The sequence below is a fragment of the Homo sapiens genome, chromosome 14, assembly GCF_000001405.40.
Source record: "Homo sapiens chromosome 14, GRCh38.p14 Primary Assembly".
Classification (NCBI taxonomy): domain Eukaryota; kingdom Metazoa; phylum Chordata; class Mammalia; order Primates; family Hominidae; genus Homo; species Homo sapiens.
Window position 1 is genome coordinate 80,817,046 of NC_000014.9, and position 18,676 is coordinate 80,835,721.

The 18,676-nt window shown below is 37.8% G+C and overlaps 1 protein-coding gene and 1 pseudogene across 16 annotated transcripts in view; one reads left to right on the forward strand and one right to left on the reverse strand.

Annotated features, from left to right (window-relative positions):
• CEP128 (centrosomal protein 128) overlaps positions 1 to 18,676 on the reverse strand; it is a 482,534-nt gene that overhangs the window by 340,077 nt on the left and 123,781 nt on the right. For 15 of the 16 annotated variants that reach the window (NR_157142.2, XM_047431023.1, XM_011536493.3 and 12 more), the window contains one exon: positions 14,098 to 14,249. Coding sequence is in view for 15 of the 16 variants with exons in the window: in XM_047431023.1 (XP_047286979.1) it covers positions 14,098 to 14,249 (152 nt within the window). In the remaining variant the exon portion in view is untranslated. Of the gene's footprint in view, positions 1 to 13,106; positions 13,161 to 14,097; positions 14,250 to 18,676 lie in introns of those variants that run through there. The other variant, XM_017021043.2, reaches the window with a different exon arrangement.
• On the forward strand, positions 5,384 to 6,561 carry HMGN2P2 (high mobility group nucleosomal binding domain 2 pseudogene 2; annotated as a pseudogene).

Consider the following 18,676-nt stretch of genomic DNA (forward strand, 5'->3'; position numbering starts at 1 on the left):
CAACCAAAGCTTAATGAGATCAGGGAACTAGACAATCAAAGAGAACCCAGTTAAAGCTATAGTTATCCCAGACAGCAATAGAGACTACACACATGATGGAGAAGTGACATCAGTGGCTACACACTGCAGGGAAAATAGGTTTCACTGAACTATTCCAGCCAATTCACTAAACTACTAAAAAAAACCCAAGACAGAAAAACCCAAAAGGTAGAGAACGAATCAGTATTCAAAGTTAATACAAAAATTATCTAAAATGTCTAATCTCAAAAAAAGTTACAAGACATGCAAGGAAATAGGAAAGTGTGACTTATACAAATGAAAAAGAGGATACAATATAAAACAGCCTTTGAATGGGCCTACATGTCAAACGTAGGAGACAACGATTTCAAATCAGCTAGTAAAAATATGTTCAAAAAACTAAAGAAAAACATTTTTTTAAAATGTAAGATAATGTCTCATCTAATAGCAATATCAGTAAAGAGATGGAAATTATTTTTGAAAAACAAAAATTCTGGAATTGAAATGTATAATAACTATAATAAAAAGCTTACTTGAGGCCGGGCGCAGTGGCTCACACCTGTAATCCCAGTACTTTGGGAGGCCAAGGCAGACGGATCACGAGGTCAGGAGATCAAGGCCATCCTGGCCAACGTGATGAAACCCCATCTCTACTAAAATACAAAAAATTAGCCAGGTGTGGTGGCACGCGCCTGTAGTCCTGGCTACTCGGGAGGCTGAGACAGGGGAATCACTTGAACCTGGGAGGCGGAGGTTGCAGTGAGTGGAGATCGCGCAACTACACTCCAGCCTGGTGACAGAGAAGAAAAAAAAAAAAAGAAAGAAAAACTCACTTGAAAGCCCCAAAAGTGAAATTTGAGTTGGCAGAAGAAAGAATCCACAAACTTGAAGATTATCGATAGATATGATGCAATCTGATGAAGAGAGAGATAAAAGAATAAAGGTAAACACCAACTCAGAGAAATGACTAGAAATGACTCAGATATGTAAAGGTAAGAACAGGCTAAGTGCAGTGGTGTGATCACAGCCCACTGCGGCCTCAACCTCTTGGGCTCAAGTGATCCTCTCACCTCAGCCTCCTGAGTAGCTGGGACTACAGGCATGTACCACTATGCCTGGCTAAATTTTGCTTTTACATAGAGACAGGGTCTTACTATGTTGCCCAGGTTGGTCTTGAACTCCTGGACTCAAGCGATCCTCCCACCTCCACCTCCCAAAGTGGTAGGATTACAGGCACAAGCCACCGTGCCCAGTCTACTAAATTCTTATATCCAGCAAAACTATCCTTTAAAAATAAAGCTGAAATAAAGACATGCACAGATCAACAAAAACTCAGAGAATCTGTTGCTAGTAGATTAGCCTTACAAGGAATACCAAAAGAAGTTCTTCAGGCAAAAAGCAATTGCTACGCAATCATATTTCAACACAGCCCTGTGACTCCAATCCCTGGCCACAGATGGCTAGACCAGTGGATTAATAACTGAACCAAAGACAGCCATCTAGAGGTAGCTCAAGTTTACAGTCTTTGCAACTAACAGTCTTAATGATGACCCAGGTCATGTGTAGTAAAATGTATGAAATTTGCTTTCTCCCTGAAGCCCAGCAGGGAATCTTCCAAGATAGTTTCTTGCTTCCCTTAAATTAAACACCCATCTGAGTGTCTCCATTACTTGCAACCTAGAAGGAACAAACAAATATACCTGAAGAATGTTATATGATAATAAACATGTGAAACTACAAAACCACTCTTTCAGATTTTCAACCAGAAAATATCAATTTCTATTTAAAGATATTTCAGCTACTTTGTCTTCTGAGTCTTTGCTTTTAAATATATTATTCTGTCCTTGAAGGACAGGAGCCATCCTTTTGCAATAGGAATGGAAGAGCCCCAGGCCTATTTCTTAAGATTTAGAGTTCCCACTGTCCTAATCCTAATTTCAAGTCTCACTATGATTATGCCTGTAGTTCAAGATGCTTTAACAAAGCACCACAGACTGGGTGGCTTATAAACAACAAAAATGTATTTCTCACAGTCCTGGAAGCTGGAAATCAAAGATCTGAATACTATCTTGCATGGTCAGATTCTGGTGCAGACCTTCTTTGAGCTGCAGACCGACAACTTTCTTTATATCCCCATATGGAGGAAAAGCAGCAAGCCAGCTCTCTGGCATCTTCCTTTTTTTTTTTTTTTTTTTTTTTTTGAGATGGAGTCTCACTCTGTCACCCAGGCTGGAGTGCAGTGGCGCAATCTCGGCTCACTGCAACCTCCGTCTCCCGGGTTCATGCCATTCTCCTGCCTCAGCCTCCCGAGTAGCTGGGACTACAGGTGCTTGCCACCACGCCCGGCTAATTTTTTGTAATTTTAGTAGAGACGGGGTTTCACTGTGTTAGCCAGGATGGTTTCGATCTCCTGACATTGTGATCCGCCCACCTCGGCCTCCCAAAGTGCTGGGATTACAGGCGTGAGCCACTGCACCCAGCCTCTCTGGCCTCTTCTTATAAGGGCACTAATCTCATTCATGAAGACAGCCTCATGACCTTATTACCTCCCCAAGTCCCTACCTCTAAATGTCATTACTTTGGGGATTAGATTTGAAATTTTGAATTTTGGCGGAACACAATATTCAGTCTATAATACTGTCCATCCATGCCGAAAGGGCCTGGTTGTTCTAGGAAAACCAACATTTCAGTGCTGAGTGTGAGTTCAATGACTGTCACTTTATTGAGAGCAAGGATTGTGTGGATTTGTGTACTCCTAGAACCTAGCACCAAACTCAATTCTTAACAGGCCTTAAATCAAAATGTATTCAGTAAAATACTGAATAATTTTTTTCATTGCCAAGTAGAAGATAGGAAAAACAGAACATAAAACCTGAAACCAAACTACATATGAAATTATATAATCTAATCAGACACAAAGATGGAGACCTCATAAAATATTTGAGTAATAATTTTAAAAATGTGTCTACTATTCTCTTAAACTCTACCTACATAACTATCCAGCTCTTAATTTCAATTATATTTTGGATGTAGGATTTGTAGTTGATTCTTTTTATAACTTCCTGACCTCTGTAAGAATATATGATCTAATTTCACAATATATTAACAATAATTATTTTGAAGTTGTTTTTGATAACTCCAATATCTGAAGAGTCTATATGCCTATTGACATTTCTTGTTTTTTCTCGTGCCTTTTGGTAGAATGGATTTGTTTCCTGATATGCCAGTTAGTTTGATTGAATGCTAGACACTGTATATGACAAATTATAGAAATCATACAAACCTCTGAATGATCATATCTTCCTCCCTAAAACATTTACTTTTGTCTTGATGGGAAGTTAGGACAGGGGCAGACCCAAAGCTATGTTACAATGCTACAGTCTTTGTGAGTAGAGAAAGTGTATTTTGAGTTCATTTAGACTCCTAGGGGCTTAGTCCTCTGAGCATCCCAATCGTGAAATCTTTACCAGAGCTCTTCCTCTTCAGTGGGCCTTTAAGCTCTGCTTATGAATCAGAAAACATTTCAGGAGAAAAGTAGTGGCAAATGTCAGAATTGCCATTCTGAACTTGCCTCCGCAACAAAATACTTGAACCCTCCTGTCCTTGCTGCCTAGAGATAGCTCTCTGAAACCTTCAAATATATTTTTAAAAACATGTCCTAGCCAGCTTTTCTAAATTGTACCAGTATAAGGTTTACACTACAGAACACTAGTCCATCACTCACAAAAGCAGAAACTGTTTCTCTTCCTTTAATGAGAATTGCCACAAGTTTGCCAAATTTATTAATCTTCTCTAAGGAAGAGCAAAATACAATCTAACATTTTATCATTATAGGTTCCCACAAAATAATATATTCTATGATACAAACACATTCTTCACCCAAGTAAAGTACTAGAAATTAAACACATTTAATGTGCTTGAAAAAAATCTTCCTAATGTTGACCATTGTTTATATTAGTCATATGTTATGTATTAGGAACTAAAAGAATGTTTTCTCAGTGCATATGAATAAGTTAGCTTTACTTTTTACAAAGATAATTTGTACTATTTGAACATTTTGAAGAGCATAATAGACCTGTTGAATTTTGTTACTGTTTAAGGCTGAGTGCAATCTCATTTCCTTATGCCCTTAGAGAGAACTACCTGAAAGCAAATATCTAAAAAACAATTTAATTTGCTACTTAAAATGATATGCTATCAAGTTGAAATCACTCTAAAGATAAGGAAACTAAAAAGACTACAGGAATAATGTATGAACAGTTAAAATTGGCTCATTATAAAGAATACCAACCCTCTTTCAATGGTATTTCAGGTAGACAAGCATTGAATAACTCTTAATTACTTACTCAAGGAACATTACCGCATTTGTTTAGTGCCACCCTTTTTTCCATAGCAAGTCCTCAAATAAGTATTCCCAAAGCTGTATTTTATCTTCCAAATTGCTTTAAATTTTCAATAGATCCATAGATAATAAAAAGTTATCAATACTTCATATTTTCTGAGGAACTGAAGTTATATGTCACACACATACACACATACACACACACACACACACACACACACACACACACACACACACATGCACACAAAGCTAAGAATCACAAGGCCCCATTTAATTTTTTTTTTTTAAGAGATGAAGTCTTGCTCTTCCACCCAGACTGGAGTGAAGTGGTGTGAACATGGCTCACTGCAGCCTCGGCCTCCCAGACTCCAGTGATTCTCCCGTCTCAGCCCCCTGTAATACTCCATTCTCCCACTGCAGATAAAGACATACCTGAGACTGCGCAATTTACAAAAGAAAGAGGTTTAAAGGACTTACAGTTCCACATGGCTGGGAAAGCCTCACAATCATGGCGGAAGGTGACAGGCACGCAGACAAGAGAAAGGAGCTTGTGCAGGGAAACTCTGCTTTACAAAACCATCAGATCTCATGAGACTTATTCATGATCATGAGACAAGCACAGGAAAGACCTGCCCCCGTGATTCAAATACCTTCCACCAGGTCCCTCCCACAACACATGGGGATCCAAGATGAGATCTGGGTGGGGACAGAGCCAAACCATATCATTCCGCCCCTGGCCCCTCCAAATCTCATGTCCTCACATTTCAAAACCAATCATGCCTTCCCAACAGTCCACTCAAAAGTCCATACTCCAAAGTTTCATCTGAGACAAGGCAAGTCTCTTCCGCCCATAAGCCCGTAAAAGCAAAAGCAAGTTAGTTACTTCCTAGATACAATGGGGGTACAGGCATTGAGTAAATACAGCCATTCCAAATGAAAGAAATTGGCCAAAACAAAGGGGCTACTGGCCCCATGCAAGTCCAAAATCCAACAGGGAAGTCAAATCTTAACACTTCAAAATGGGAGCAGTGTGAAGAAGAGGCGAGAACGAACCCCTAACCAACCAAAGCCCGTGCACCACTGCATCCCGCGTCCACCACCTACATCCTGCCGCCACCATGCCCAAGAGAAAGGCTGAAGGGGATGCTAAAGGAGATAAAGCCAAGGTGAAGGACGAATCACACAGAAGATCCATGAGGTTGTCAGCTAAACCTGCTCCTCCAAAGCCAGAACCCAAGCGTAAAAAGGCCCCTGCAAAGAAGGGAGAGAAAGTACCCAAAGGGAAAAAGGGAAAAGCTGATGCTGGCAAGGAGGGGAATAGCCCTGTAGAAAATGGAGATGCCAAAACAGACCAGGCACATAAAACTGAAGGTGCTGGAGACGCCAAGTGAAGTGTGTGCATTTTTGATAACTGTGTAAACTTCTGTTGACTGCACAGTTTGAAATACTATTTTTTATCAAGTTTTATAAAACTGCATAATTTTACTTTTTTTTAAGCTATGTTGTTAGCACACAGAACACTTCATTGTTGTTTTTGGGGGAAGGGGCATACGTCACTAACAGAATGTCTCCAAAGCTGGACTGATGTGGGGAAAACACCTTTCCCTTCTGGTTTTGAGAGACTTCCTCTTGGCTCCCAGGAGGAGGGATTCCCTGACGTTGACACACATGGCCACCTTGGCACAAAAGCCTTGTGCTATGGAAAAACAAATTCATTTCTATGTCCTCTTCTCCCTTTCCATCTTTCAGCAAAGACTTAACTCCCTTAAACCCAGACCACTACTGGGACCTGACCCCTAGTCATTGGTTACCAATGTGTCAGGCAATCTGGACTTTCCAGTGATGCCACTGAGATGGCACCTGTCAAAAGAGCAGTGGTTCCATTTCGAGATTGCGGATCTTCAGATAAATTCTGCCACTTTCATTTCACTTCCTGAAAGTCAGGGTCGGCTTGTGAAAAGTTGTTAAACAACATGCTAAATGTGAAATGTCAACCCTCACTCTAAACTTTCCCTGTTCAGAGCATCAGATGAAGACTTCATTGGGTTTTACAGTGGCTTTCTGATTTTTGGCAGTCCACTGAAGAAGGGAATTTGAAAGTTGTTGTATACTGTTAACGACTGTCTGCCCATGTCCTGCCTGAAATACCATGATTGTTTATGGAAAGTATCTTTAATAAAGCTGGATACAGTTTGGCTTGGGAAAAAAAAAAAAACTCCAAAATGATCTCCTTTGATTCCATGTCTCACAACCAGGTCATGCTGATGCAAGAGGTGGGCTCCCACCGCCCTGCACAGCTTCCACCCCTGTGGCTTTGCAGGGTAGAGCTCCCCTCACGGCTGCTTTCACGGACTGGCACTGAGTGTCTGAGGCTTTTCCAGGTACACAGTGCAAGCTGTTCATGGATCTACCATGCTGGGATCTGGAGGAAGTGGTCCTCTTCTCACAGTTCCACTGGGCAGTGCCCCAGTAGGGACAATGTGCGGGGATTCCAACCCCACATTTCCCTTCCACATTGCCCTAGCAGAGGTTCTCCATGATGGCCCTGCCTCTGCAGCAAGCTTCTGCCTAGGCATCCAGGCATTTGCATACATCCTCTGAAATCTAGGTGGAGGTTCCCAAACCTCAATTCTTGACTTCTGTGCACCCGTACACTCAAAACCACATGGAAGCTGCCAAGGCCTGGGGCTTGCACCCTCTAAAGCCACAGCCTGAGCTCTACATTGGCCCCTTTCAGCCACGGCTGGAGCAGCTGGGATGCAGGGCACCAAGCCCCTAGGCTGCACACCACATGGGGACCCTGGGCCCGGATCATGAAACCACTTTTTCCTCCTAGGCCACTGGGCTTGTGATGGGAGGGGCTACTGCAAAAGTCTCTGACATGCCCTGGAGACATTTTCCCCACTGTTTTGGGGTTTAACATTTGGCTCCTCAATACTTATGCAAATTTCTGCAGCCAGCTTGAATTTCTCCTCAGAAAAATGGGATTTTCTTTCCTTTTGCATTGTCAGGCTGCAAATTCTCCATACTTTTATGCTCTACTTCCCTTATAAAACTGAATGCCTTTAACAGCACCCAAGTCACCTCTTGAATGCTTTGCTGCTTAAAAATTTATTCTGAACAGATATCCTAAAACATCTCTCTCCAGTTCAAAATTCCACAAATCTCAAGTGGAGGAGCAATATACCACCTGTCTCTTTGCTAAAACTTAACAAGAGTCACCTTTGCTCCAGTTCCCAACAAGTTGCTCATTTCCATCTGGGACCACCTCACCCTGGACTTTATTGTCCATAATGCTATCAGCATTTTGGGCAAAGCCATTCAACAAGTCTATAGAAAGTTCCAAACGTTCCCACATTTTCATGTATTCTTTTGAGTCTTCCAAACTATTCCAACCCCTGCCTGTTACCCAGTTCCAAAGTTGCCTCAACATTTTTGTGTATCTATAGCAGCTCTCCACTCCTGGTACCAATTTGCTGTATTATTCTGTTTTCATGTTGCTGATAAAGACACACCCGAGACTGGGCAATTTACAAAAGAAAGAAGTTTAATGGACTTACAGGTTCACGTGGCTGGGGGAGCTTCAGAGTCATCGCGGAAGGTGAAAGGCATGTCTTACATGGTGGCAGATAAGAGAAGAGAGCTTGTGCAGGGAAACTGCTTTATAAAACCATCAGATCTCATGAGACTTATTCACTATCATAAGAACAGTACAGGAAAGACCTGCCCCCATGATTCAATAATTACCTCCAACCGGGTCCCTCCCACAACGGTGGGGATTCAAGATGAGATTTCGGTGGGGACACAGCCAAACCATATCACCCCCCAAGTAATTGGTATTAGAGGCACATGCTACCACACCCAGCTATTTTTTGTACTTTTTTGTAGATATGGGGTTTCACTATGTTGCCTAGGCTGGTCTTGAACTTCTAAGCTCAGGCAATCCTCCAGCCTTAGCCTCACAAAGTGCTGGGATTACAGGCGTGAGCCATCATGCCCAGCCCTATTTAATTTATATGTAAAAAACATGAGGCAGAAATTATTACGGTTTCAGAAAACGAAGAAACTTGAAAATAGATATTTTATTTCTAAACTGTTTTACTGACCACATTCAAATGACAAACTAATGTATTAGCAATAAATACAAACTATTAGTAATTAGTAATAAATACAAACTAATTAGTAATTAGTAATAAATACAAGCTAATGTATTAGTAATACATTCAAGAAAAAATTAAAATATTCAGTCCACTTCTGCTTTCTGCAACTCAGAGAGTTAAAGAAAACAGAAAAACCACCTTTCCTCATAACTCCCAAAATTCATTTTTTCATACAGATGAAAGATCTGAGAATTAAACCAAGTCTTCTAATAGGTATAAAGGCTTATTTAGTTATAGGGATTTTACTTGCAGAACATCTCAGCCAGGCATGGTGGCTCACTCCTGTAATCCCAGCACTTTGGAAGGCCAAGACGGGCGGATCATGAGGTCAGGAGTTCGAGACCAGCCTCGCCAACATGGTGAAACCCCGTCTCTACTAAAAATACAAAAATTAGCCAGGCCTGGTGGCACACGCCTGTAATCCCAGCTACTCAGGATGCTGAAGCAGGAGAATCACTTGAACCCAGGAGGCGGAGGTTGCAGTGAGCCGAGATCGCACCACTGCACTCCACCCTGGGTGACAGAGCGAGATTCTGTCTCAAAAAAAAAAAAAAAAAAAAACAGCTCTGCCAATAGTCATCTTTGTGAAAAATACAGAAGTATAGGGCATTCAGTAATGTGCCCACAAACCAGAGTAAATTTGGTTAATAACAGAAGCAGACCTCATTTCCACTAGATACCATAACTTTATTAATAGCTTCTCTCTACAAAGTTGTGGCCAATGTTTGTTTTCTTTATAATCTAATCTAGGTATTAAAAATTACTTGCTATTCAGGTAATAGCATATTTTACAATATGCACTTAGATAAGGAAGAAATTAAGATTTTAGAAATGAAGTTGAACATGAAATTACAACCAGCATAATTAAGGTCTCTAAGACCTTTGGTCTCCAAAAAGGGTTTAATCTCATTATTAAAAGTAATATTAAAGCGGGCATACAGTAAAATGGTCAGCTTTATGAAACAAATGCATGAATCAAGAGTTTATGGTAAAAGAAACAACCTTCCTTCTATTTGTATTGTACTAATCATAAAAATAAGCTATTATTGATTATCCTTTCTTTTTTATACCATCCTCTTTTAAAAAAAAATTAAAATCTCCCATTATAGTCCCAAGTTTCTGCTAATGAATTATCATGTCAGTTGTCACTCAATTATCACTTTCAACATTTAATCTAAATTATGTTCAGCATCTTGTTTTTTCCTTTCTTTGAAGTTCTTTCTTGAATTTAAAAGTCAAATTTTTTTTCAAGAAGAGTAAGTTGACGGAAGATGGAGGCAAAGATTAAATCAGGGGAAATAACTGATCAAGGATGCTTAGAATTCTTATGAATACAAATAGGCTATCAAGGTTAATGAGGTTCAACTTGAGTTTACAAGAAGGGAAAAGTGTACTTAGTATTTTCTATGCATATACAGATTTAAGATCTTAGGTACAATTTAAAAGGTAAATTATGCAAACTCAAATGTAGCTTCCTTCCATTGTTTTTTTAAGAGCCATTTTTACTGTTTTTCTCTAATGTAAAACAACTGCTTGAAATATATATTCTGGATCAACAAAAACTAATGCAATTAGTAAGATATAGCAAAGGTCCCCTTAAATACTGACAAATCTTCCAGAAATGGATGTGCTTTTAAGAAATGACTAGATAGCAAATATTAGTTTAAAAAGAAAAAACATAAATTTTTTACAACATATTATTTCATTCAACAAATACTAATTAAGCACCTAGTATAGGTAAGACTGTGTGGGAACACATAGGGACACAGAGATAAAACTTGGTTCTTAACCCATTTATAATCTCAACAGGAATAGAAGCTTTAAATTCATAAGTGGCTCCCAGAATGCCACAACTCTGAATTATAACATCAGTGCATACTAGTAAGTGGCCCAGAGCAAAATCCGTGCACAGCAACATATCAAAAGAAAAATTAAACATAAGACTGAGCATCAGAGCGAAAGCATAGAAGATTGCTGGAATGAGAAGAGATGTCAGTTCAACACACTCCAGGAATAAAGACATAGAATCTAGCTGAAGTGTACAGTATCTCTGGTTGTAAGGACTCTGTAAAAAGGGAGGTGGGAGGTTGAGAATTTCTACTATAATTATGAACAAACAACCCTTAAGGCATCATTATTCTCTGATTCTGTGTTCATTAAGCAATTTTTTGGTTACTAATTCTAAAGCCAGAAGATTAGGAGATTGGTGCCCTGCATAAGAGAATAATGTTTTCATATCTGTATAGGGCTCCCACAGGGTAAATCAGTGAAGTGGTACTCTTTTGTATATTAGGTTGGTACAAAAGTAATCTCAGTTTTTGCAATTACTTTTGCATTGACCCACACCTCTCTCTTCTGAGTTTCATTGTTAATATGAGCCAGTCTCCTGGGTCACACACAGAAAACTCAAGTTTCCAGATGTGAGGACAAGACCTTGAAACATGATGTCTCCACCAATGTAAGGGCACCAAAGTTCACTCTGTCTTGGTGACAGGGCAGCTGGCTTTTTCCTGAGTCTCTTTTTCTACTTTATTTTGGCCTACTTTGCTTCTTTTTTCTTTTTTTTTTTTTTTTTTGAGATGGAGTCTCACTCTGTCGCCCATTCTGGAGTGCAGTGGTGCGATCTCGGCTCACTGCAACCTCCGCCCCCAGGTTCAAGCAATTCTCCTGCCTCAGCCTCCCAAGTAGCTAGGATTACAGGCACCTGCCACCACACCTGGCTAATTTTTGTACCTTTAGTAGAGATGTGGTTTCACCATGTTGGCCAGGCTGGTTTCGAACTCCTGACCTCAAGTGATCCGCCTGCCTTGGCCTCCCAAAGTGCTGGGATTACAGGCGTGAGCCACTGTGCCTGGCCCCACTTTGAAATTTTTAACAAAACATACCCAGATTACTTCAAGAGAGTGTGAGAAAGGGGGCATAAGAATATTAGTGATATGGACAAAAGGATTATTCAGAAAGAAGAAGGATCACTTACAGCTGATTTAATCCAATTCCACTTTTACATGGGGGAAAAAGTTTAGGATTTCCACAAAAAGAAAGAAAAGACATTCAAAGTTGTTCACAGAAACAGTGAACAACTGGCACAAAGGAAAAACTGATGGAGCTGAGTAGGGAAGTTTAAGAAAAAAGGAATTATTTGACAAGACCACATATGAGGTTCTGTAGGAGAGGTGTCAGAAAGTGAAGGTTAAAAAGAAACACATTAATGATTGAATAAATCATAAGAACTGTTACTATATATATGTTCTTGGGCCTGACCAATGATCTCATTTTGTGCATCTTTTTTATTCATATTTGGTCTCTGAAAAGCAACTAAAGAAGATTAATCTCTCTTTTTTAATAGAATGTATAAGGCAACAGCTCCATACTACCCAATATTTTCTAAAAATAAAGCAGAGACTAAATTTCAAGAAAATTCTCAATTGTTAGAGGTTACAATCGAGTAATCTATGACCTAATATCTCACAAAGTCTGCACGAAACATGACTTTGAGAACAGCTTGGGAACAAAGATATTCAAATGGCCTCCAAAAGGTGCCATAAGAACATTAGTGATACAGACAATAAACTTGTTCTAACTTAATAGTTCTTTTATGAAAAATAAAGGAAAATCAGACGTGTCACTAAATCAGAAACAGCTGCAAATTTAATTAACTATTTTATTGTTCAAATTAAGAAAATCAGAAAAAATGCAACTAGTTAATGCTAATGTCTTACAGGGATAAACATTGTCTTTGTGATGTCCTTTGCAATGGCAACTGGAAAAAAAAATTTCATTCTCAAAAAGAAATTTATTCTTAGAAGCAAGACAAACTCAAAGAACTTTCTGCATCAACTTTATTTTTATTTACTTATTTTTTAGAGACAGAGTCTTACTATGTTGCCTAGGCTGGAGTGCAGTGGCACAATCACAGCTCGCTGCAGCCTTGAACTCCTGGCTCAAGCAATCCTTTCACCTCATCCTCTTGAGTAGCCGAGACTACAGGCACAAGCCACTGCTCCCAGCCTGCATCAATTTTAGATCCACTGTGAGAAACAAGGAATCGGCTGCATTTGTGTTCTTTGCTATGTTGCCAGCACTTAGAACAGTGTCTGGCATGTAACAGGCAGTCAATAATATTTGCTGTGTTGTAAAAACCTTTCCTCCAATTGTTTTTCACACCCAAACTCTATACAACCAAACCAAACTAACCCAAGAGGACTCAAATTCTTCCCCTAACCCATAAGAAATTGTAAAATAACTACTAAGTTAGGACAAGGGGAAAGCCAGGAATCTTGAATAAGAGCATTATTAGGCTATTACAAATAATTTTTTTAGTGCTCACATATTTGAGATTTTTTTCCAATGTATACCATGATGGCAAGTGAAAAGAAACAATGTGAAGGAAGGAAAGAAGGGAGGGAGGACCAATGTGTGGTTATGAACATAGAGCAAAGGGATTTTTCTACCTTTTAGATCTATCCAACATACTTTCTTTTTAAATACGTGACTTCAGCAAAATAATCATATTTTAGCATTTTCATCAGCAGGATCAAGGGCTAAAATAATACCCATGAAGCAAACTTTAAAAGTTGTATAATTACCATTGCTCTGAGACAATTTCAAGTAAGTCTTTATTAAACATGTAGAGGGCTTTGTAAAGAGTATGTCAATATTTCATTATCTTTACAATCCAAATCTTGAACCAAATTTAAAAGACATTTTCTATTGATGTGCTGACAAGATGAAAGAGAAACACAGATGAGTAACATTAAATATTTCCTTTGGGTTATATAAAATTAGGTGCTTTTAACACTAATTTTCTACCTTTCATTTTAATTTTGGAAATACTTGAAATTAGAACACAACTTCACTTACAAAAACAGATACAGGGAGGATTGATACATATCTATTTCCAAATGTGTCATCCATGTTTAATCTAATTTGCATAATTGTAATTTCAATTAAACCATTTCCTTTTATGAGGTCTTTTCCTTTGATTTTTAATATATACTGATAATTACCTCATCTATGCTAGATAAAAGCAGGAAATGGTAGCTGCCTAGTTATACTCCATTCACGGTTACCATATCATCCATGATTGCTACACAACTCTAAATTAATGGAGGCATTGCAATTCCACCTCATGCAGAACAACTAGAGGTCTGAAAACCTTTATGGTTCCAAAGAAGAATTATTGGTAACACCTTTTCACTATGCATTCTGCCAGTTTCACCCGCAAAATAAATAATAATTCACTGTTCTCTCAAACAAAAAAGGTCCCTTCTGTCTGTAGAAAGGGTTCAATTGCTATTAGAACAAAAATATTTTCAAATTTAAAAATAGTAAAGGATTTCTCTGTAAAATAATAAAGGAAAATCATCCAGGTTCCTGGCTTTGGGGTCCTGAATGAAAGAGAAATGAACCCATAGGAATTTCTACATATAAGTAAATCAGTCATTAATATAACTTTATATTATCAATGCTCACACTGGAGTTCATAAAATAACACATCTTTATATTAAAATTTCATTAAGCAATTCCATGAGATAAAATTAAAATATTTCGAATATGACTTAAAAAGAGCAAAGTCACCTCTACTTGTGATGCCAAATGTGCTTTCTCCTTGTCTTTTCTCTCCATGCACCGTTTCACTTCCTCTAACTCAGATGCCATTGCGCTGAAGTTCAGCTGCACTCTCAAATCTGACATTTGCTTCTCCAGGTCCTGTTTTTCCCGCTCAACCCCTTAAAAGATAAAATGTAAGGCTCAAGGGTTGTTCTTTATTCACAGAAGAATGTACTTTCAAATAGTACTGAGCCCTGATGTTTCAATATTCTAGCTATCATAATCCATTTATTGACAGTTACTCAACAGACTTTGCCAGCCTGTTGTTTCAAGTTTTATAGCTTTCAAAAACATATACATTGCTATATCATCAAATATTATTCCAGTTTGATACTAAAACTTAAAATGTTACCTGATTTCTACTGCAATTTATTTCAAGAAAATCACACACATTTTTAAATTTTCCTCACATCTCTACACTATCTCCAAACAGTAAAAAAAAAAAAAAAATACAAAAAGAGTTTTCAACTAAGCTACTTCATCTACAAAATATTTTTTTTGCAACATAAACAACAAATGATGCTATTAAATCTCTGATTGTGTATGACCAACCAATTTACTAATCCTTACTCATCTGGAGATTATTACCTGAAATTAATATATCATTTAACAATATAAATTGACTTAGTATTTAAATCAACATGAAATACTTGACCTGTGCTACACAGGGGACTATAATACCTTCTTCTAATATAAGGACAAATAACAAAACTTCATCCTCAATGAGCTTACATCCTGATGTGGTTTGGCTCTGCCCCACTCAAATCTCATCTTGAATTGTAGCTCCCGTAATTCCCACATGTTGTGGGAGGGACCAAGTGGGAGGTAATTGAATCATGGGGGCAGCTCTTTCCATGCTGTTCTCATGATAGTGAATAAGTCCCATGAGATCTGATGGTTTTATAAAGGAGAGTTCCCCTACACAAGCTCTATTCCCTGCCACCACGTAAGACATGCCTTTGCTTTTCCTTTGCCTTCCATCATGATTGTGAGGCCTCTCCAGCCACGTGGAACTGTGAGTCCATTAAACCTCTTTCCTTTATAAATTACCCAGTCTCAAGTATGTCTTTATTAGCAGTGTGAGAACAGAATAATACACATCCCAAGAATAGAGACAAAATATAAAGTACTCTATGGAGTCTAAAATGTCAACAACTGGAACATATACTGTCTGTCATTTTAAAACTACTGTCTTTCTAGTGGTTTCCTTTCCAGAAAAAAAAAAGGAGGCAATGAAAGAAGAAAACACTAACAAATTAAATTTATACATCATTCATAAAATACATTCCCACTTCAGAATATTAGTGTTCAAAATTGTACATATTAGAATGGAAGACATATGGGCATTTCAATAGGATGATAAGAGCGCTGATACATACATGTGGATTATACAGAAACAGTACAAACAGTAAAAGGGATTAGCTCTGTCTCAGTGAGGAACTAAAGTAGGAAGAACTGAGAACTAAGTCAGACTTAAAGAATGAATACAAAATTTCACCAAGCAAAGGAGAAGGAGTTGGGGTGTTTTTAGGGAAAGCACATACCATAAAGCATACAGGTACAAAACTGAATTTAACATTCAGGTAATTGCACACACAGAAGTTTCAAGTAGCTAATACATCTCATATGTTACAAGGGTGGGAGGAGGGAGTGTCAACAGAGTTTATGTGTTGCTAGGAAACTTAGAAGAATTTATCCTACAAACCAAGCATCAGCAAACATTTTCTATAAAGGATCAGATAATAAATATCTTAGCTATATGATTTCTGTCATAACTACTCAATTCAACCACTGTATTGCAAAAGTAGCCTAGACATTGCATAAATGAATGGGAGTAGCTGTGTTCCAATAAAGTCTATTTACAAAAACAGGTGGCAGTCTGGATTTGGCCCATGAGCCCTACTTTCCCTACTTCTGATAGGTAACCAACCTGAAAATGTACATATTTATCTATTTGTAAATGTATTTGTTTATTTTATAAATATATGTATTTTATTTTATATGTGTATATTTGTGTGCATATAACATGTCTCAATAATATGTATATATTGATACGTTTCTTGATATATACACATGGATGTAACATTAGAATGAATATATATTATATAAAATATGAAGGCATGTATGTATACATATATGTATACTTTATGAAACATATATATTTGATATGGAGATATATTTTGGTATGTTTACATATATATATACTAGTAAAGATAAATATACACACACATCTATACATACATACACATGTAGTATATGTAATGAAACATTTCCCAAAAAAGTTAAAATATTTAAAACAAAAAGTATAAAATATAAACAGCATTACAAACGCTCCATTTTGGAGAATGCTTGGTCAGTATAGGATAGCAGTTAAGATCTCAAATTTGGGGAAAAAAAAAAATTGGAGTCTGCTACTTCCCTCATGTGTGATCTTGGGCAAGTAACTCAACCTCTTTATTCTTGGGTCCTTTTTATAATCATTAATATAGAAATAAGAAATAAGAATAGTGCCCTTTAGTAATAGAAAAGAAAATAGATTACAGAGAAGCCAGAATAGGTAAGACAAGAGAGTACTACATGTCCTATACTGACCAAAGCATGCTTAAGCCGGGGCAGTGGGAATAAGAAAGAGAATGTTGCAAATTCAGGAGATATCAGGATGTATAAATAGGCATGAGGTAGAAACTAATTATATGGAGGAGAGAATAAATAATTTCTATGTTCTTTGCATTTTAGGCTTGGATGTCTGGATGGAGGATGATGCCACACACTGAGACAGGAAAGAAAAACATGTTTTGAGGAGACGATGAATTCAGCTGTGTATCAACATGCATTCTGAGGAACAGCATATGGAGATATCCAATGAGCAACTCCATTTGGAGGGCCAATGGTTAGGAGAGCAAATAGAGCTAGATTTAGGAATTATCACCTCTAGGTGATAATTTTTAATCAATTCCCAGGCAGACATACTAAGTAACAAAAGCCATGAGTAGGATAGTAGGCAAAACCAACATTTAGAAGACAAACTGTGAACACAGCAAAAAGATTCAAATACAAAGAATGTAAATAACTAAGACAGAAGAATTAGGAAAGGCAAGAGGCATAGAAGTCACAGGAAGAGTTTCAAGAAGGAAGAAGAAATAAGCAGGTAACACTAAAATAAGTAATGCAACGACATCCTTGGAATTGACAGAATTGCTAGCAAATTGGAATTGCTAGCAAATCATGCAAAGTCAATTTTACAAATACAGGTGGAACCCATTTTGCAGTGGGCAGAGGAAGAAATACCAGCTGAAAATATGATAAGTATGATTTCTAATGTAGAACTGTCTTTAAATAATCTAAGTATTCTGTAAAGATGAAAAACTCTACAATTGTTAAACGGTGAAGAAGTCCATTATCACATATATAAAAAAACTTCCAAAATTTTTTTCATACCTGATAAGTAGCTAAGAAAAGCTCAATATTTTTAGTCCTCAAAGACTTACAACAGAAATAATTACATTTTATGAGGTATCAAAACATAAAAAATGTGTTGGTCTTTGTTCCAACAATTCCTGTGTGCATCTTTATGAAGTTTGATGAAGAAGCTAACAGCTTAGGATTGTTTAAAAACAAGTGATATTCTGGGTCAAATGATACTTAAATTATATCACATGAAACTTAATGAAACTTAATGGCATACAAATAAAAATATGCTAAGGCTTGGATATAGTTTATTTGTCCTCACCAAATCTCATGGTGACATTTTATCCCCACTATGGCTGTTAGGAGATGGGGCCTACTGGGAGGTGTTTGGGTCACGTAGACAGGTCCCTCATGAACGGCTTGGTGTCCTTCTTGTAGCAGGAGTGAGTTCTTGCTCTCCTGAGGCTGGACTGGTTCTCAAGGGAACTGATTAGTTCAGACAAGAGTGGGTTGTCAGAACGCCAGGACATCCCTTGAATTTGGTCCCCCTTTACACATCCCCACTCCCCATTTGACCTCTTTTGCATTGTTTGGATGGAGCACAAAACTCCTCCCCAGAATTCCAGCAGATGCTAGAGCCATGCTTCTGGTACAGCCTACAGAACTGCGATCTAAATAAAGCTTTTTTCTTTGTAAACTATCCAGCCTCAGGTATTCCTTTAGTGTAACACAAAACAGACTAAGAAAATATATTAGAATAGCTTTGTCAAAATTTGTCATCCATTGAAGATTTTCTGGCAATGTGGAAATTCTAGCTTAGGCAACATATGGAGGTGTATTTGGAAAGCCTGGGGCAATATTTACCTTCCCTGAATTTAACAGTACATCCAACACTTACAAAAATTTCACCAATACTTTGAGCATTTGAGTAGGAAGCCTCATTATTGGGATAATACAGAAGCTGAGCAATGTGAACTCACCTAATAGAAACAATTATATAATCTCAATATTATCATTATTAAACCTGAATATACATCCAGTCATTAAATTCCATAATTTAAATTAACACCTCCACTGAGAAGGTATCCTAATATTTTTCAAACACAAAGTATTCCTAAACCACATAAAAAGCCAGTGA